Source organism: Homo sapiens, chromosome 6 (genome assembly GCF_000001405.40).
Source record: "Homo sapiens chromosome 6, GRCh38.p14 Primary Assembly".
Classification (NCBI taxonomy): domain Eukaryota; kingdom Metazoa; phylum Chordata; class Mammalia; order Primates; family Hominidae; genus Homo; species Homo sapiens.
Genome location: NC_000006.12, coordinates 149,844,824 through 149,864,811, shown reverse-complemented (window position 1 = coordinate 149,864,811; position 19,988 = coordinate 149,844,824). Strand labels below are relative to the sequence as shown.

The window sequence follows — 19,988 nt, the reverse complement described above, 5'->3', positions numbered from 1 at the left end:
CACCCCTCCCGGCCCTGACTCCGCCACCCCAACCCCGCCCCACTTTGTACTACCCAAGCACATCTTGGGAACATGATGCGGAAAGTCAGGGACGCTGGAGGTGAAGGACTGATGACGCGCTACGGTGGTCCTAGGTGCGCGTGCCCCCTCTCTGGAGTAGTCCCGGGGGTCACGAGGATTTGAAGACAGGCCCTCCCTTCCCACTGCCCCCATTCCCCCGAATGCCAAGCCCCTGTGGGCAGGCGCCCTGGGCAGGTGTGGTTGGTTGCTAAAGCCTGCTGGGCCCAGACATGAACCCTGCCCTAGCTGGGCAGCGGCGCGGGAGCAAAGTTGTTCTGAGGCTGCCCTCCCCGGGGCCTGCTCTCCCAGCCCTGGAGGAGCCGGCGCGAGACGCGCGGGGGCGGGGCCGCGCGGGGGGGCGGGGCTCACCAAGGCTCCACCCCGCCGCGGCCACTGTTCGCACACACCTGGTGCTGATCAACGCCGAGGCCGACTCGTCGCCACCCAGCGCGCCGCAGGCCGGGGCGGAGAGGCGCAGGGCGCTGGGCAGTCTCCGGCGAGGGCAAGGAGCGGTGCCCGGCTGGGCCGGCTATGTCTCCCGCTACTGCGGTTCCCGCCGGCGCCCGCGACCTCGGGGGAGCAGCCGGGTTCGGGGGCGCCGCGCTGTGAGGCCGGGGCCTAGAGCCAGCCGCGGCCGCGCAGGAGGGGCCCAGGGCCCGCGCTCGCCCGCGTCCCCGCCTTCCTCCCGCGCTCAGCCCCGCCTCGGCTCGCTGCCCTTGGCTCTCGTCGCCATGGCCTCCGTCGCCCAGGAGAGCGCGGGCTCGCAGCGCCGGCTACCGCCGCGTCACGGGGCGCTGCGCGGGCTGCTACTGCTCTGCCTGTGGCTGCCAAGCGGCCGTGCGGCCTTGCCGCCCGCGGCGCCGCTGTCCGAACTGCACGCGCAGCTGTCGGGCGTGGAGCAGCTGCTGGAGGAGTTCCGCCGGCAACTGCAGCAGGAGCGGCCTCAGGAGGAGCTGGAGCTGGAGCTGCGCGCGGGCGGCGGCCCCCAGGAGGACTGCCCGGGCCCGGGCAGCGGCGGCTACAGCGCAATGCCTGACGCCATCATCCGCACCAAGGACTCCCTGGCGGCGGGTGCCAGCTTCCTGCGGGCGCCGGCGGCCGTGCGGGGCTGGCGGCAATGCGTGGCGGCCTGCTGCTCCGAGCCGCGCTGCTCCGTGGCCGTGGTGGAGCTGCCCCGGCGCCCCGCGCCCCCGGCAGCCGTGCTCGGCTGCTACCTCTTCAACTGCACGGCGCGCGGCCGCAACGTCTGCAAGTTCGCGCTGCACAGCGGCTACAGCAGCTACAGCCTCAGCCGCGCGCCGGACGGCGCCGCCCTGGCCACCGCGCGCGCCTCGCCCCGGCAGGGTAAGCGCGCGACTGAGGGGCCGGCCTTGGCCAGAGCGCTCGAGACCCGCAGCGCCCTCGCCAAGTTGGAAGCGAAACACACTCGTGCCAAGTTATTTTAGCCGCGGGCACCCAGAAGAGTTTCTGGCATGGGTTTCTCTGTCTTAGGGAAGAGGAAGCCCAGTAGTTTGGCAGAAGCGGGCGGGCGGGCGCGGTGACGTGCTACTGGAATTTTTCTAGGCTTGAAGAGAAAGGCTGATCTGAGAGGATTCGTGGAAATATGACTTAAAAGGGGAGAAATGCTGAGAGAAAAAAGTTTGTTTTAGTCTCATGGGTTGTATAAGGCATGGTTTGTGTTAAGTAATTGCAAGAGCAAAATCTAATTAGATGCCGGGCTTCTCGTAACACCCACTCCTTTTTCTTGACGTGGCTCTCCTGACTTTGCCTGCGGTGGCTTTCATCATACAAAAATGGGAGGAAAACTTCTGGTCCCTTTTATAAAAAGTGAAAAGAGGGGACTTGATTTTCGTTGAAAATAAGAAACTTTAAGGCCGGGCGTGGTGGCTTATGCCTGTAATCCCAGCACTTTGGGAGGCCGAGGAGGGCGGATCACCTGAGGTCAGGAGTTTGAGACCTGCCTGACCAATGTGATGAAACCCCATCTCTACTAAAAATACAAAAATTAGCCAGAGCTGGTGGCATGCGCCTGTAATCCCAGCTATTCGGGAGGCTGAGGCAGGAGAATCGCTTGAACCTAGGAGGCGGAGGTTGCAGTGAGCCGAGATCGCGCCATTGCACTCCAGCCTGGGCAACAAGAGCGAAACTCCATCTTAAAAAAAAAAAAAAAAAAAGGAAAAGAAAATAGGAAACTTTAAAGCGTGTTTCTTAAGGACTAAAAATGATGCTGATTCGACGGTTTGACTTTTTGTAGATGCTCTGAATGAGAGAATCAGGACACATACAGGAGGCACAAAAATGGTAGTGGTTGGACATGAATGTCACGGAGGGAATAAGAGACCTTGATTGTGCCCACGTGTGGTCAGGCTCCGTGTGTTTAATCATGCCCTGTTGCTGTTTGATTTATAATAGCACGAATGATATCAGCAAGATGGGGGCGGAGCTCAGCCCCTTTGGAAGTGTGGATTCTCCAAAACCTGTGGATCCATTGAAAGAGTCTGGAAATCTGTGTCCATCACATCCTGCCTCCCTCCCCACCTCTACCTTAGATGAGGCTCAGAATCCTTGTCAGGGGAGCAGATATCAAAGGGTCACCCTGCGACTGCTTGGCCTTGAGGCAAACACTGGGAAGGACTCCATAGCTTTCCTTCTGAAGTGGAGGCAGGCAGCACTTTCACTTGGACCCCCCATCAGCATCTCTGAGGCCCACCACGGCTGTTGCACACACATCCTCTCTGCCCAAACACAGACCAAAATATCCCAGCAGCAAAGAAACAAAGTCTTTTCTCTGTGTTCTCACTACTTACCTGGAAGAAACTGACATTGCCAAAGTGAGCTTTCCTATAAACCCAGAGGAAACCTTTGAAAAGGAAAATAAACAAGGAAAGAATATGCCATAGAACAAAAATTTTAAAGTTTAGATTACTTGGAGACGCCAGGCACGGTGGCTCATAACTAACCCCAGGACTTTGGGAGGCCAAGGCGGGTGAATCACTTGAGGCCAAGAGTTAGAGACCAGCCTGGCCAACATGACAAAACCCGTCTTTGCTAAAAAGAAATAAACACAAAAATTATCCTGGCATGGTGGCGCCTGTCTATGATCCCAGCTCCTCGGGCGGCTGAGGCAGGAGAATCGCTTGAACTGTGGTGGTGGAGGTCGCAGTGAGTACAGATTGCGCCACTGCACTCCAGCCTGGGCAACAGAGGGAGACACTGCCTCAGAAACAGAAACAAAAACTTCAGGTTACTATGAGAAGTTTCTGGGTTGTTTTTCCTCTTGCTTGCTTCGTTGCCCTTCCTTTCCCCAGGGGAGTTTGTCTAGGAATTGTTTTGTAGATGTTTGGGATGAAAATAGGCGAGCGCGGTGCTGGTCCTCATTTCTGGGAGAACACTGCTGTGCTCAGACTTCCTGAGGTCCCAGCAACATGGAAACGCGGAAGGTGCGGCTCAGGTTCCTGTAGAGGCTCATTTGTTCTCTCTGCGTGGAGGTCAAAAATTGTTCCCCAGTGTCCTGTGTGTCCCCTGCTCAGATGCTTGACAGGTTGAAGTTGTTTATGCTTCAGAGACTAAGTTTTTCCTTCTTGAATTGTTCGTTTTTGGGTTGTGAGCATGTGAAAATGGTTTAGAAGAGCCCTTGGAGAGGAGCTGTGACTGGATCCATCTGAGGTGGATGAAAGCACCATGAAGAAATGGTGATGGGATAGCACGAACTTACAGCAGGACACACCAGCCCTGTTTTCATGCCCACATTTGTTGACTTTGGTGTTAGGTGCTGTCCTCAGCCCTTTGCACGCATGAACTCACTCTGTCCTCACAACAACACAAAGGCCTAGGTTCTGTTATAATCCCTAGTGTATACAAGGCTTGGCAAGCGAAAGTAACCTGCCCAAGGGTCACACAGCATGGGGTTGTGGAGCCTGAACTCCTATGCTTTCTCCAGCAGCACCAGCAGAAGCTGAGAAAGGGATCACTAGGCTGGGACTGCGAGGGTAGAGGTAGGGAAGGCGGGAGGATGCAGGAATGAGTGAGAGATGCTGGAGAGAGGTGTCTTGTAGTGACTGAGCCTGCCTGCTAGAATCTGTAGAACAGAGGAGGGTGCTTGAAGTTCTGGGGCCTGGCGTCTCCACAAACAAGTCCCTGCTCATGCCCCCAGGACTTGGTGTCTGCTTGTCCTCCATCCCAGGCTGTCGTGAGGTTCAAGGGGGGACATGCTTTGTGAGTTAGGAAGGTGGCACGCATGTACATGATACTGTTCTAGGAACCTGGTTGGGTCATGCCCATGACTAGAGGGTTGGGGGACTGGATGTCATGATAAAAAGTGAAGAACAGCAGGAGGGAGGGAGGGAGGGAGGAGAGGTAGAAGCTAGAGCTGCTAGGATTCCAGAAGAGCAGGGAATATAACCTCCAAGGACTCAAGGACGATAACCTTTATGTGGTTTTTGCTGGATATTCAGCCTGAAGTCCAGTATCTCGGGGAAGAATTTGGGAAGTGGGCCCCTTGCCTTGTGTGTCAGGGAAAATCAAAGCTATTAGGCAGAGGTCTGCTCTCCTCTCTGCAGACCCACCTGCTGCCACCCCCAGCCTTTCCCTGTCTCCGCCAAGTGCAAACAAAAGAGTTGACCTTCCCATTCAAGGTTAATCCCTCTGCAGATGCTTGACCACTCTCCCTCTCCAAGGGCCTTACTTTCTCACATTCTTATCTTCTCCCTTTTGTGTTATAAACAATTATATTTAATAAATAATAGTAAGATAACTGGTTGGCAGTGTCAGGGAAAGTACATTTAGACCTACAACTCTGACCATACACAAATTCCAGATGGATTAAAGAATTAAATTTTTTTTAAATTAAGCCATAGATTACTCCATACATAAAAAAACTTAAAGGAAGTAAACTTCCATATCTGGAAGGAAGACAGGTTTCAAATCAATTAAAGAGGTCACAAAGAAAGGGGATAGATTATATGCACATTTATAAAAAACTTCATATCAAGAAACAAAAGGAATTGCAAACAAGAGTCTGGGAAAAATGTGACATTATTTATTCGTAGAGTTTATGGGCCAGGCACAGTGGCTCACACCTGTAATCCCAGCGCTTTGGGAGGCCAACGCAGGTGGATTGCTGGAGGCCAGGAGTTAGAAACCAGCCTGACAAACATGGTGAAACTCCATCTGTACTAAAAATAGAAAAATTAGCCTGGTTTGTTGACACACGCCTGTAGTCCTAGCTACTGGGGAGGCTGAGACATGAGAATAGCTTAAACCCTGGAGTCGGAGGTTACAGTAAGCTGAGATTGCAACACTGGACTCCAGCCTGGGCGACAGAGCAAGACTCGGTCAAAAAAAAAAAAAAAAAAATATATATATATATATATATGAGTCAGCAAGAAAAATAAAAATAAATGGGCAAAGGACATGAGCAGACACTTCCCAGAAGAGGAGGTATGGTGGATAAACATGGAAAAATGTTCGACCTTAGAATCAAAGAAATGTAAATAAGGCCAATTTTCATTTATTAACTTGGTAAAAATAGGTTTACTCATATTGGCATGCATATGGGAGACTTCATATACACTTCTGTGCTCACCGATGGTGTAAATTGCTACTTCCCTCTTGGAAACCAGTTGGGAAATATGTGGCAGAGACCATTAAAATATTCATTTCATACTTCTGGAATATTTTTTAGGAAAAGGAACCATGCTGAAGAGAACATATGAGCAAAAAAGTGTTTTACTCATATTGACATGCATATGGGAAACTTTATATACACTTCTAGCTCACTGATGGTGTAAATTGGTACTTCCCTCTTGGAAAGTAATTGGAAAATATGTGGCAGAAACCATTAAAATATTCATACTTCTGGAATATTTTTTAGGAAAATCATCTATGCTGAAGAGAACGTATGAGCAAAACATGTTTATTATGGCATTATTTATAATGGTGAAAAAGTAACAAAGTAAATGTCCAGTAGTACAGATTAGGAAACTCAAGTGGCAATTGTGAAGCTTAGGTTATCACATGGGCAGTGCTAAGATATATGAAGAAATATCAATAACAGGAATATACCAATAAGTTGATGGATTAAATTCAGGATGTAAAATTATATTTATTGTAACTGGAATACACCTAGGGTTGTCTCGAAGTATAGTGGAAGGATAGAACCTTTGAGTTAGAAATAACTGGGCTGCATTCCTGGGTATATATTCAAAGGATTATAAATCATGCTACTATAAAGACACATGCACATGTATGTTTATTGTGGCACTATTCACAATAGCAAAGACTTGGAACCAACCCAGATGTCCATTAATAATAGACTGGATTAAGAAAATGTGGCACATATACTCCATGGACTACTGTGCAGCCATAAAAAAAGGATGAGTTCATGTCCTTTGCAGGGACATGGGTGAAGCTGGAAACCATTCTCAGCAAACTATCACAAGGACAGAAAACCAAACACCGCATATTCTCACTCATAAGTGGGAGTTGAACAATGAGAACACACGGACACGGAGGAGAACATCACACACCAGGGCCTGTCGGGGTGGGGGTCAAGGGAAGGGATAGCATTAGGACAAATACCTAATGTAAATGACGAGTTGAAGGGGGCAGCAAACCAACATGGCACATGTATACCTATGTAACAAACCTGCACGTTGTGCACATGTACCTTAGAACTTTTAAGTATAATAATAAAAAAATAATTAAAAAGAAGTATCTGATCTGACAAATTTATCGCCTGTGTGATGTAACTTAGCCCTCTGAGCCTAGTTTCTGCATCAGTATTATGCAGATGATAATACCTACCTCAGAGATTCGTTGTGAAAGTTAAGTTCTTTCTATAACTTCACCTGGCCTGGTACCTGGTACAAGGAAATTGTAACCGCCCAATGGGTTCTCCTTGCCCACTGCCTACACAGAGCTGATTTATCAAGACAGGGGAATTGCAATAGAGAAAGAGTTTAATTCACAAGGAACTGGTTGTGCGGATAAAACACAAGACCAGATGAGCCAGTTTATCAACCTAGGTACTGCCAACGGGGTGCTGCCAACCATCGAGGACAGGGTCTATAAAATATCTCAAGCACTGAACTTAGGTTTTATAATAGTGATGCCTAAGCCATAATTTCTAATCTTGTGGCTTATTTGTTAGTTTTGCAAAGGCAGTCCAGTCCTCAGGCAAGAAAGGGGCTTATTTGGGGAAAGGGCTGTTACCATCTTTGTTTCTTTTTACTTTTTTTTTTTTTTTTGACACAGGGACTCACTTTGTTATGCAGGCAGGAGTGAAGTGGCACAGTCTTGGCTCACCGTAGCTTTGAATTCCTCAGCCCCCCAAGTAACTGGGACTATAGGCATGTGCCACACATCAGGCTACTTTCTGTATTTTTAGTAGAGATGGGGTTTCACCAGTTCCAGGCTGGTCTGGAACTCCTGGGCTCAAGCAGTCTGCCCACCTCAGCCTCCCAAAGTGCTGGGATTACAAGCATGAATCACCACACCCGGCCGCGTCTGTTTCAAAGTCAGACTGTAAACCAAGTTCCTCCCAAAATTAGTTCGGCCTATGCCCAGGAATGGACAAGGACAGCTTGGAGATTAGAAGCCACATGGAGTCAGGTCAGATCTATTTCACTGTTATAATTTTCTCAGCTATAATTTTTGCAAAGTCAGCTTCAAAATCCCTCAGTAAATGGCAACTATTATAATTATTATCAGCAGCACCATAGGGAGAAGGACTGGATCAGTACATACCAAAAATCACAATAATCATATTGGGGTTGCGGATAATTTTTTTTCCGAAGTGTTGCAGTTGGAAATCCATGATGGATTTTGACCGCATGTATCTGAGCCTCTTCCCCTAGTCTCGCCCCGCTTCCGTACCCTGACTTCAGGGTTCTTTCCAGTTGCTCTGCCTGAGCTATACCATTCGTTCCCACACAGCACAGAATGTCTTCCTTGTCATGGAGGCTCTGTGCACAGTAGCGTGTTGTGAATGAGGCTGGTTGATATTATATTACACTTCTCTGAATAAAATGCCACCTTGATTTGCTCATTCTCAATCGGCAGGAGTCTTATTTCACCTCTGTAGGTCTTACTAAGTGTGTTTAGTTTTCAAAAGAAACCAGTGTTTCCCTAGTACTTAACATGGGTTTATTACATTTTTTTGACAAAAATTCAAAATTACATATATTTTGTTCTTCATTAGCAAGTCACACATTTTAAAATGGCACACTCCCTTCCTCTTCGTGTTGTTATTTGTTTATTTTAAGGACTGTTTCTGGGTAGATAAGCTCTGGGTTATTTTAAAATACATTTTACAATGGAAATGGCCTGGACTTGAACTGAAAAGGAAACATTATCTGTGTTATTTCAGACACATCAGTGATCAGTTTAGAAGATAGGATGATTTCACTAAGCTTATAATTCATCTTAAAGCTCACCTAAATAAAAGTAAGTGACTAAAATGATCTTTTTCTTCCAGGAGAGGTAGGATTAATTAATTGTATAATGTGTGGAATATTTCAGCGCTTATCTGATTCTTCCATCTTAAATCTTTGAGAGTTTTTAAAAAATTATGTGTCCATTACTGTTTATATCACATAGACATATTTTCATTTGTCTACTTAAAAATGTATTTTTAACAAAGTTTAAATAGCTGCTAGCTGTAATGTATAACTGCTGAGTTATAAGATGCTTTCCAGAATTATAAAGTCATAAACCATTGTGTGGAAACAATGAACCTTTCAGAACCAAAGAAAAGGTCAACACTATGAAAGGACTATCAAAATAATGCAAGTGTCCTATCTCTCCTTACCTGGCAGAAGCAGCATAAAGACATCAGACACTCCGTGTTTGTTCAGAGGTGGAAAAAGGCAGAAGAACAAGTTTCTTCCTAGGCAGGGGATTGTTTACTTGGCTTATTTAAATCACAGTTACTAGTCCTCACTCTTAAGTGACTGGAAAAATGGGACACGTCTTCTCCATAGTTAGCAATAGCATGTAAAAAGCAATTGTGCTTAATTCCTCATAATGTGTTTTTTTTTTAAAAAAAAAAAAAAAGGCATCTTCCCTTTGTGGCTGGCAGCAGCATTCTCATTCAGAAAAGCCGCATCTCTAAGAGCCCCAGACCCCTCACATAAATCCCCTTGTTCCTGGATGATCAAGGTCCGGCTGCTTTTTCTCGCTTTCCAATGAGATGCAGACAGACTGGGAAAGAAGGGAGTTTATTTCTGCAACTGGTGACAGGAAGATGGTGGGAGTGACTCACCAGACCAACTCAAAGTTACAAGTTTTTCTTCAGTGTTTATTTACATTCAATTCAACCTCTATGCCTGTGTGAGAGTGTGCACCTACAAGCAGGAGTGTTTCATTCAGTCTAATCTTTAGGGTCTGGGGTCTGGAAAGTCTCTAGAGCCTTGGAAAATTTTCTTTAATCTTAAGTGGCCTTGATACAAGGTATATGTGTAAGAATGCCTTCGATCAGATGTTAGGGTCTGAGAAAGTCCAGGCGAGGTCTTAATGTATTTGTTTTCACATTCCAGGCCTTGTACTCAGGCACCAGTTTCTCCAGCTTGAATGTTTAACTTATGCATTCATCAGAATTACAGGAAAGGGTTAGTGGAAACTGGCTGCTCTGGTTGCTGATGACAACCTGTTGCCACACCCTGGTGCTGGGCATTGAGGGAACCACTAGAAGAGAAGAGAATCCTGGAGGGTTAGGTCCTAAACATCTGAAAGGCAATGGTAACTTGCTGAAGGGTTTTTCCTACTCGCAGAATGACCCCGTCAGATTAGCTTTCCAGAAGAGTCATTTCAGCTGCAATGTATCAAGAGTGGTCACCTTTTGTTCCGTAATGAGACACTGAGGTGGGATTGCAGTAAGCCCCGAAACTCAAGCACTGGGATGTGTGGCTTGGCCCTTTAGAAGTTTGTGTAGGTAGCAACATTGGCCCCTGTGGAGGAAAGTGATGGGCTCGAAAGCAGGAGGAGAGGCGGTGCCTTGCAGCACTGTGCAGGGTGAGCCAAAGAGGGGCAAGCCCAGCCAGCACTCGAACCAGAGCTTTGGCACTGAAGGAATGGGGAAGTGGATGCCAAAGAGGGCGTGGTACACAAACCTGTAGAGTTTTTCCAGTTCTGTTGCTGTTTCTTTAAAATATGTGTGCATTTGGGTGAATTTACTAAGAAGCTTACATCAATTAAAATTTTGGTAACTATGCTCTTAGAAATGTTTTCTTTGTACAGCTTATCCTTTCGGTCATCCCTGTAGCAGCTGTCAGTAAAGTATTAATATTGAAATAAACATAATTAACCTTATATTATTTAGTACCATTCTAGGTTAAAGGTAAATATAGGCTGGGTGCAGTGGCTCACACTTGTAATTCCAGCACTTTGGGAGGCTGAGGTGGGAGGATCACTTGAGGTCAGGAGTTCAAGACCAGCCTGGGCAACTCTCACTACAAAAGAGTGAAAATAGGTGGGAAGGTTAGCACACACCTGCAGTCCTAACTACTCGGGAGGCTAAGGCAGGAGGATCACTTGAGCCCAGGAGTTGGAGGCTACAGTGAGTGAGCTATGATCGTGCACCAGCCTGGGTGATAGAGACCCTGTCTCAAAAGCAAAACAAAACAAAAACAAAGGTAAATACAGATTTATTTTGCTGTTGTAGTCATCTGAGCCTGCTGGCTTCTATTATAAAAATTAGTTATTAGAAACGGTGAACGTCTTCAATTTTCCTAGATGAAAAATTGGATTCCAGAGAATTTACATGCAGGCTTTATTTTGTATGGCTCTAAAAATTTGCCTTAACTTTTCAAACTTAATATATTTCCCATTCATTGAATACTTTATATCACTCCTATTTTTAAAACTTGAGGATAAGAAAAAAAGAAAATCCATATTAGAGGTGAATTTGGTGTTTTTCAGGTTTGTTTTAATAATCTTTTCAAGGCCAGGCGCAGTGGCTCACGCTGCTAATCCCAGCACTTTGAGAGGCCGAGGCAGATGGATCACCTGAGGCCAGGAGTTCGAGACCAGCCTGGCCAACATGGCAAAACCCTGTGTCTACTAAAAATACAAAAAACAATTAGCAGGATGTGGTGGCACACACATGTAATCCCAGCTACTCGGGCGGTTGAGGCAGAAGAACCGCTTGAACCCGGGAGGGAGAGGCTGCAGTGAGCCGAGGCTGCACCATTGCACTCCAGCCTGGGTGACAAGAGCAAAACTCCATCTCAAAATAATAATAATCTTTTAAAATAAATTTATTTAACAGTATTTTGAACTTAAGTGATTTTAAAATTAAGTGAAAAATCCACTCTAGAAAATAAAACTGCTTCTCCATATTTACACATTGGTGGGACCTCGTATGCTGCCTTGTACCCAAAATCGCTACCAGCCAACACTCCACACAGCCTCTTCTGCGCATATTATAGCTAAATTCCACGATCATAAAATAAATAGAAAAATAATTTCCATTTAATATGGATTCTCTTAGCAGTTATTTGCCGAATCATATCTATTCAGCAAACAAGATACCTCTCCATAAATTAGAAAAAATAAGAAATCATCTTTTATGAATTATTTATTTTCTTTCTCAGAAAAGGATGCGCCTCCACTTAGCAAGGCTGGGCAGGATGTGGTTCTGCATCTGCCCACAGACGGGGTGGTTCTAGACGGCCGCGAGAGCACAGATGACCACGCCATCGTCCAGTATGAGTGGGCACTGCTGCAGGGGGACCCGTCAGTGGACATGAAGGTAACGCATGTTGTCACTGCTAACAAAAACGAGTATTTCAGTGAAGTGGTCTTTTGTAATGTCCTGCCACTTCATGCTCCCTAAATGTCTGTACGCTAGCAGAAGGCATAAAATGGAGACTGTATAAAACTGATTATGCCAAAATGGTTTATTATCTCAATGTGCTTTTCTGCTGAGAGTGAGCAGCAATCTCGATCATTTGTCTTGGAGCCTACCCTCCTTCTAGCTGCTGTTTGTGACTTGTCTAGAGGACAAAGACACTTCAAGGAAGAAGGCTCATGCTTTGTTTTAATGACTCAGATTACTTTTTTAAAGTTCTATTTCTTTTTCTGAGCTCAAGATCCAGGTAGAAAATTTGAAACTACAAAGGAGTCTAAAGAGGACAATAACAATAGGATGAACTTATCCTTCACATGAGCCGGAAAGTAGACAGCTTACCTGGCAGCTAGGTCTGCTGGGGCACACCGAGCCTGTGAGGGAGGGAGGCCAGCATGCGGTGCTCCTGCCCGGGGCTCCTGCCCGGGGCTCCTGGGATAGCCGCCGATGGAAATCAGCCATGTGGCTGGTGGCTGCCTATGCTCAGGAAGTCTTGGGTGGTGAGACAAGTGGCTTTTTATTCACCCTCTCAGGGTGGATTCCTGGCTTAGGCAAATAAGCACTTCCTGGCTTAGGCAGATAAACTGCATCCAAACCACTTCAGTTAGAGGAAGTGGAGAAAGAGGGTGAGGTAAGGAGGCACTGATTTGTACTCTACTGGAACCAAAACAAAAACAAATCTGGAAGTCCCTCATCACTGGTTTAAGTAAGAGTGATTTTACTCCCTGATTATATTGCATTAGAATTGGACTCACCCTCGTCCAGTATGGTTTGCCTTTGTCCCCACCCAAAAATCTCATCTTGAATTGTAATCCCCATAATCTCCACGTGTCAAGGGAGAGACCAGGTGGAGGTTACTGAATTATGGAGGCAGTCACCCCCATGCTATTCTCATGATAGTGAGTGAGTTCTCGCAAGATCTGCTGGTTTTATAAGTATTTGGTTGTTTCTCCTGCCACCTTGTGAAGAAGGTGCCTTGCTTCCCCTTTGCCTTCTGCGGTGATTATACTAGTAAGTTTCCTGAGGCCTCCCCAGCCATGTGGAACTATGAGTCAATTAAACCTCTTTCCTTTGTAAATTACCCAGTTTCGGGCAGTTCTTTGTAGCAGTGTGAGAATGGACTAATACACCCAGCATCCTTCCCAGCCTCTCCTCCAAACAAGAGTGCCTTCCACAACACCCCTTCCAAGGCTCATCTGCCATCTGTCTGACTTTTCCAAGGGCAGAAGCTCACTACTTCACATCATGTCCATGACATTACTCATCACTGTGTTGGGCAAGCAGGCTACGCCTCCCCTTACTTCTGTGCATTGGTGTTGGGTCTTCCCTTTGGAAAAACACTGAACTCATCTTTTTATCCTGTGTAAAAGCTTTGGAAGTCTTTGAAAAAAAGAAAGAAAGAAAGAAAGAACATCACCAATTGGTATGCTGTTCTCAGAACTCAGCACCCCACAGTTTGTCAGATGTTCCTCATATGAATTGATTTTTCAGGCCCGCCACTATCCTGCCTTGTCTGGATTTTCTCATATTAATCCATACCCTTCTTAACATCTAATACCCCTAATTGAACCCCATATTTAAGCTTTGGTTTTCTGACTCATTCATTACCTACTGTGATCCAGATATTGCCTCTCCTTCTATTAATGAGCTTCGTTACATGAACTGTGTCAGTAGCTGCATCACACAGTGGGTTCGTGCTGCATTTTTCTTGCCTTCAAGAGGAAACTCTGAACCAGTTCCCAATCGTGTATAACAGTGACGGCAGGTAGACCTCAAGTTATGAAGCCATCATCTAAATGACAGGGCCTGTACTAGGGGAAACATCTGTTACCAATTTGTGACTGTCTTAGAATGATATACATTCATGAATGTCACCCAAAGTTAACACTCATCCTGCTGAGACTTCATCATAATCAAAGCCCCCACGGATTGAGCACCCACTGAGTGCCAGGCAGCTTAGAGAGATCTGTAATCCACTGGACACCCTCACTTGTAGGCACATCCCCATTTGGTGGATGAAGACTGTCAGGAAACATTGTGGAAGACTTTGAGGTGGGCAAAAGATTACTAAGTACCTTTCAATGGAATGCTGGGTTGGTTAGTGGATCCTTCAGGGTTAACATCTATAAGTTGCAGAAAACTGATAGTAACCAAATGATTCTTGTCCATAGAAATGCAAAAGAAAATTAGGTATATAGGGGTAATTGACTTTCACCCTAGAGAAAATAAGATTTCAAACATGACATTTTAGTACATGTAGATACTAACCGATCTATTAGTAGATTCATTTCAGTACTGATTAGCAAACCCATTTCAGTTTTGCATCTCCTAGCAACTTCTTTTTGGCATTCATGATTGCCTGTATATGTGTAGTCTTCAGATTCTTTAAATCAGTTGAACACCTTATTGGTTCCCTCTTTAACTAATGTCTTTGAAAAATATTCATATTATATTTGTGTGACAGTCATAGCTTTACTATTTTGAGAATTTTCCTTTAACAGTAATTAACCCTCAGGAGCTATGCCTCTGATCCCTTTAACTTGAGCAGCCTTATTTCACACCCCAACATTTCTGCCAGGAGAATTGGGCCTCTCAAATCAAATTCCTTTTTCTCTGAGAATGGCTTCCTGCTGACTGGAACACTGATGCACTCCGCCCTCAAGCTGCAAAATGGGGCTAAGTTTGAAGGTTGTTGAGAATAGAGGGAGGGCAGTCACACAGCAAAATAGTTAAGTTAAAACCTGTTATTGGATGCCCTTGTTCCTAAGTCCCTTGACTGTCCCTAGCACCCAAGAGTGTCCATTGATTGGGCTTTCCCCTGAGCGCCCATCTCCTCCTCTTCTTGAGCCATTCATCCCTCCTCTCATCTCCCCTGCTCTCCACCATCTGCACGGGCTCCTCACCCTTGCTGTCTGTTCTCAGGCAGAGTAGTGATCTCTCCCTTTGCCTCGTGATACTTTAAGATCAGCTTCTAGGGCCCATCTTTTCATGTCCAAGTGACCCAGACAGGTATTCAACCTGCAAGGAATTATGCTGTCAGATTAGTTATGAAACAATTAATAGTTAATTTTTAAGCATCTGGTATGTGTCCAGTACTGTACTAGGCACTAAGCATACAGGAAAGCTCATGTTCCTGACTTGTCTCATTCATTCGTTTATTCATTCATTCATTCATTGACAGGGTCTCTGTTGCCCAGGCTGGAGTGCAGTGAGTGGCACAATCATAGCTCACTGCAGCCTCAAGCAGTCCTCCCACCTCAGCCTACTGAGTAGCTGGGACTATAGTCATGGCTAATTTTTTTTTTAACTTTTTGTAGAGATGAGGTCTCACTATGCTGCCCAGGCTGATCTCAAACTCCTGGGCTCAAGCAATCCTCCCTCCTTGGCCTCCCAAAGTGTTGAAATTACAGGCATGAGCCACAGCACCTGATCTGTCTTTTTCATTTGTGAAGACAGAATGGATGATTGGTCAGAACCAAGAGGCTATCCACTGGATTTAAAGTTATATATTTTATGCCCTTGAACAGGATATTTTACATCCACTTAACTGAATATTTATAATACATCAAAATGCAAGATGACACATATTTTTCAGGCAACCCATTAAATGATGCTGACTTTCATGGTTATTAAACATAATACATTTAAATCTGAAGTCAGAATGTAAAATATGACATTTAGGAACATGATACAAAGTAGGACATTCAGGAGATTTGGAATTCATAAATCAGTATATTGATTTACATTCGTCAGTTGCTTAAAATTTTCTAAATGATTATCTTAGTCCATTTGGTCTGCTATAATAAAACACCATGACTGGGTGGCTTCTAAAGAGCAGAAATGAATTTCTTTCAGTTCTGGATGCTGGGAAGTCCAAAATCAAGGTACAATCAGCTTTGGCGTCTAGTGAGGACCCATTTCTTATTTTATAACCAGCCATCTTCTCACTGTGTCCTCATATGGCAACAGAGGCAAGGCAGCCCTCTGGGGCCTCTTTTATTTTATATTTAAACATATTTTAACTTTTAGGTTAAGGGGTACATGTGCAGGTTTGTTATATAGATAAACTTATGACTTAGGGGCTTGGTGTACAGATTATATCCTCACCTGGGTATTAAGCATATTACCCAGCAGTTTTGTTTTTTTTCTAAACCTCTCCCTCCTTCCATCCTCCACCCTCAAGTAGGTCCCAGCGTTGTGCTGTTCCCCTTTCTCTGTCCATGTGTTCTCATTTAGCTCCCACTTATAAGTGAGAACATGTGGTATTTGGTTTTCTGTTCTTGCATTAGTTTGCTGAGAATAAGGACCTCCAGCTGCATCCATGTTCCTACAAAGGACATGATCTTGTTGTTTTGTATGGCTGCATAGTATTCCATGGTGTATATGTACCACATATTCTTCATCCAGTCTACCGTTGATGGGCATTTAGGTTGATTCCATATCTTTGCTATTGTGAATAGCGCTGCAGTGAACGTATGCATGCATGTGTCTTTATAGTAGAACAGTTTGTATTCTTTGGGTATATACCTAGTAATGGGATTGCTGGGTCAAATGATAGTTCTGTTTTTAGTTATTTGAGGAATTGTCACACCACTTTCCACAGTACACCACTTTTCACAATGGGTGAACTAATTTGCACTCCCACCAGCAGTGTGTAAGTGTTCCCTTTGCTCCACAACCTCACCAGCATCTGGTGGGGTTTTTTTTGTTTTGTTTTGTTTTTTACTTTTTAATAACATGGGACCTCTTTTATAAGGGCACTAACCTCATTCATGAGCACGTATCTCCAAACGCCATCACACTGGGCGTTAGGTTTGAACATGTGACCTTGGGAGGGCACTCAGCCATTCAGTCTACAGCAGTGACTTCAGAAAACCACACGTAAGGAAGCTTGCTAAAGGATGGGCATTATTTAAACCAACAACTTCATTATTAAATTAAAACTAACTGCATCCTGGCCTACCTGCTGTACATAATTTTTTTAAATAGACAGGTATTACTAAGTCTTTGTAACCAAGTATATACAATGTGTGTGTGTGTGTGTGTGTGTGTGTGTGTGTGTGTGTGTGTGTGTGTGTGTGTAATTTAGTTTAGACATATATGAGAAGCCCAAACGTGTATTGCTAGCCACTGAATTCCTAGCTAGGAAGATGGGGTTGAGTCAGACAACAGGCTGAGTCATTCATTGATTTGGCCAGAAGCCAACCACCAAAGGCTGTTACTGCTGAACAGGGATCTTGAGCAGAGATTGGGAGCTCCTGGTTTATGATCATGTCTTTTTCCAAGTTACAAATTGGATATGTTGTGTGTACATATATAGATAGTTTTTTATCCTGATACTTGGAACATGTCTGTGAAACACTGTAAACCCTCTCTCCAGTGTCATCCTAATGGGAGAAAATGTATAGAAGGGTCACCTGGGCCCTTAAAGGGAAAGCATCCGTGTGACAGTTCTACATCTTCTAAATATCTGAATGCAGGAGAGACAGCTCTCGTTAGCTAAAAGAGCTAGGGAAGGGACATTCAATCTGGATAGATCTAAACTGGAGTGTGCTCAGGAGGCTGAGGTGATATCATCATCTGCATCTGGACCCAGTGTTGCCTGTATCAGAGAGGCAGTGCCTGGGCAGGCAGGGGGGAAGCATGCCAAGGCCAGGTGTGAGGATGGCCCCTGACCCAGGGATGCTCTGTCCTTTCAGCCCCAGTGTTGACAAGAGGCTTGCTAGTGAACCGCAGGCCTGCAGAGTTTAGTCTGACATTGGCACTCTGAGCTTTGACACCCAGAAGCTCAGTGACTCACTGACTTTTGCAGGGAGCTCTGGCACAGGGTGACGCCAGCAGCCTCATGGATGGTACACCCAGCTCCCTGGCCTCAGTGCTTCCTTGGTTTATTCTATTCTATTCTATTCTATTCTATTCTATTCTATTCTATTCTATTCTATTCTATTCTATTATTTTATTTTATTTTATATTGAGATAGGATCTCGCTCTGTCACCCAGGCTAGAGTGCAGTGGTGCAATCTTGGCTCACTGCAACCTCTGCCTCCTGGGTTCAAGAGTTTCTCATGCCTCAGCCTCCCAAGTAGCTGGGACTACAGGCATGCACCACCTGGCTAATTTTTGTATTTTTAGTAAAGATGGGGTTTCACCATTGTTGGCCAGGCTGGTCTCAAACTCCTGGCCTCAACTGATCCACCCACCTCAGCCTCCCAAAGTGGTGAGATTACAGGCGTGAGCCACTGTGCCCGGCCCCTTGGTGTTTTTTAAAATCTCTGTTAACTTTGTCTCCACTCCGATGGCCACTCTCAGAATCTGGTCATGACTCAGCATCCCCGTCACACCAACCTTCTAAATCTCTGCTCCGAATCAATCCTGCAGCCCACGCCTCCACTCACATACCATGGCAGGGGGCCAGCACCTGCTGCTCCCTGGCAGTCTCAGGGCTTCTTGTCTGCTTTCAGGCGGAGCAGCTGGGACAGAGCAGCTTTCTTGTGTCACCTTACTTGACTGAAGGCTGCAGGGTCTCACCTAGACATACTCCAGCATGCCTGTCATTTGCAGCCATGCTCCCTTGTGTTCCTAAGTCCCAAGAGACAGTAAATGAGGGCATAAGCTATTGCACTGCTGCCCACCAGCCTGGTTCCGAGCTAGGATTAAAGAGAGCCAGAGCCTGTGACACACCCGCCCACCTCTCCACTTATGCAGCTCTGAGCTTCACCACCTGCACCTTGCCCTGTCTTTGTCTTGCCTTGGTTCAGCCTGGTGCCCATGGGAAGAGGCCATAACTGACCTTCCTCTCACTGCGGATGAAGGTGGGAGGAAAAGTTTCCAGAAAAAAGGAGACAGCAGACCCTGGTCTTCCCAGAGCTCAGGCCTCCTGGCCACTGCAGTGACCCAGGCAAGAGACAGGCTGGGGTCAGAGCAAGGTGGTACCCGCGGACAGGGTGATACATGGTCAAATTCTGGATGTGTTTTTAAGGCAGACCCCATGGAAATTCCTGATGGATTGGAGGTGAGATAGAAGGATCATTAAATGCAATCTTGAGGTCTCAAACCAGAGTTCTAGTCTTGTTTTCACTCTTATTTATCTGATTCTCTGATCTTATCTGACCAGATAAGACCTGGTCTTATCCGACAGATAAGACCTGAGCCCCAAGTCTTATCTGATCAGATTAAGACATTATCTGGTCTTGTCCTGTCTCAGACTGACTTCCACTTTTATTTCAGTGGGTTCTGATTCCTAGCATCAGCAGCCCACTCCAGGCTCTTTGGAAGTTCTCTTATTGTCATTAGAGCTCTCTCTGCTGCCCTTAGTATTTTAGCACTCACGTAAATGACCCGTTTGGCATTCTGTCAGTGTAGTTGGGCCTGAAGGTAATGTAACAGCGTGGCAGTGAGCACTGCTTAACATCTCTTTGAAATAAACAACAAAAGGCAGGTGGCCGTCATTGCCAGCCCTCCAAAGTAAGGCTTTTGCAGGGAAAGTGGTGGACAGCTTGTAGGCCAGTGTAGACTGTTTTACAACTCGAGGTCTCAATTCTGTCACTGTCGCAGTGAATGAAAATCACTTCACGGGGATTCGTTTCTTTGTCTGTAAAGAGTCATTGTGTAATGTTCAGTTAGAGATAAGAATCAACCAGTGGAGATGGTGGATATATTTAAGCGCTTACTATGGGCCAGGCCCAGCTCTTTTACATGAGTTACCTTATTTGATCCTCATCAGGTAGGTGCTATTATTACTTCCATTTTACAAATGAAAACAATGAGGTTTGGAGACGTTAAGTGACTTGTACATCATCAGCCAGCTGGTACGGGGTAGGGCTGGCATTCAAACCCATGTCTATTGGACACCGGGTTCTGTGCTCTTAACCACGCACCAGTGTTTCTTTCAGTGTGATCATGGGTCACCTGGGTGGGCTTGGTAAGTGTAGAATCCTGGGTCCTGCTCTCCTGACCAACCCACTGACTCTGACTCTCTGAGGCTGGGACCTGGAAATCCATACCTTAGCTAAAGTGGCATAACATATGACAACCACGGTAATCTCATTATATCTAAATGATTGTAAAGCATCCTATGGGTGTG

General features: G+C 45.8%; 1 protein-coding gene and 3 long non-coding RNA genes across 5 annotated transcripts in view, besides 6 other annotated features; 2 read left to right on the top strand and 2 right to left on the bottom strand.

The window, feature by feature from the left end:
* The window catches only part of RAET1E-AS1 (RAET1E antisense RNA 1), a 56,011-nt gene extending 54,697 nt beyond the window's left edge, over nt 1-1,314 (bottom strand). The window contains exon 1 of the long non-coding RNA NR_045126.1: nt 430-1,314. This is a non-coding gene — a long non-coding RNA (RAET1E antisense RNA 1). The remainder of the gene's footprint in view (nt 1-429) is intronic.
* RAET1E-LRP11 (RAET1E-LRP11 readthrough) overlaps nt 1-19,988 on the top strand; it is a 77,374-nt gene that overhangs the window by 31,319 nt on the left and 26,067 nt on the right. Inside the window, exon 10 of the long non-coding RNA NR_182438.1 lies at nt 11,652-11,809. This is a non-coding gene — a long non-coding RNA (RAET1E-LRP11 readthrough). The remainder of the gene's footprint in view (nt 1-11,651; nt 11,810-19,988) is intronic.
* Nucleotides 142-642: an enhancer, noted in NCBI's record as "H3K4me1 hESC enhancer chr6:150185306-150185806 (GRCh37/hg19 assembly coordinates)". NCBI's record gives its function as "activates a minimal SCP1, AML or CMV promoter by ChIP-STARR-seq in naive H9 embryonic stem cells {active_cell/tissue: H9 hESC(naive)}" and the evidence as "EXISTENCE:reporter gene assay evidence [ECO:0000049][PMID:30033119]".
* Nucleotides 142-748: a biological region, named in NCBI's record as "H3K4me1 hESC enhancer GRCh37_chr6:150185306-150185806".
* Nucleotides 299-748: a silencer, noted in NCBI's record as "silent region_17670". NCBI's record gives its function as "represses an Ori minimal core promoter by ATAC-STARR-seq in GM12878 lymphoblastoid cells {active_cell/tissue: GM12878}" and the evidence as "EXISTENCE:reporter gene assay evidence [ECO:0000049][PMID:35858748]".
* The window catches only part of LRP11 (LDL receptor related protein 11), a 45,603-nt gene continuing 26,067 nt past the window's right edge, over nt 453-19,988 (top strand). For both annotated transcript variants that reach the window (NM_032832.6, NM_001410946.1), the window contains exons 1-2: nt 453-1,404; nt 11,652-11,809. In NM_032832.6, the coding sequence (NP_116221.3) occupies nt 792-1,404; nt 11,652-11,809 (771 nt within the window). In that variant the 5' untranslated portion in view covers nt 453-791. The remainder of the gene's footprint in view (nt 1,405-11,651; nt 11,810-19,988) is intronic.
* Nucleotides 819-878: a silencer, noted in NCBI's record as "silent region_17669". NCBI's record gives its function as "represses an Ori minimal core promoter by ATAC-STARR-seq in GM12878 lymphoblastoid cells {active_cell/tissue: GM12878}" and the evidence as "EXISTENCE:reporter gene assay evidence [ECO:0000049][PMID:35858748]".
* Nucleotides 1,019-1,128: a silencer, noted in NCBI's record as "silent region_17668". NCBI's record gives its function as "represses an Ori minimal core promoter by ATAC-STARR-seq in GM12878 lymphoblastoid cells {active_cell/tissue: GM12878}" and the evidence as "EXISTENCE:reporter gene assay evidence [ECO:0000049][PMID:35858748]".
* Nucleotides 1,299-1,448: a silencer, noted in NCBI's record as "silent region_17667". NCBI's record gives its function as "represses an Ori minimal core promoter by ATAC-STARR-seq in GM12878 lymphoblastoid cells {active_cell/tissue: GM12878}" and the evidence as "EXISTENCE:reporter gene assay evidence [ECO:0000049][PMID:35858748]".
* On the bottom strand, nt 11,621-12,398 carry LOC124901427 (uncharacterized). The gene is made up of 2 exons (XR_007059808.1): nt 12,248-12,398; nt 11,621-11,828 (listed from the first exon to the last, which is right to left on the bottom strand). It is a non-coding gene; the product is annotated as an uncharacterized LOC124901427 (long non-coding RNA).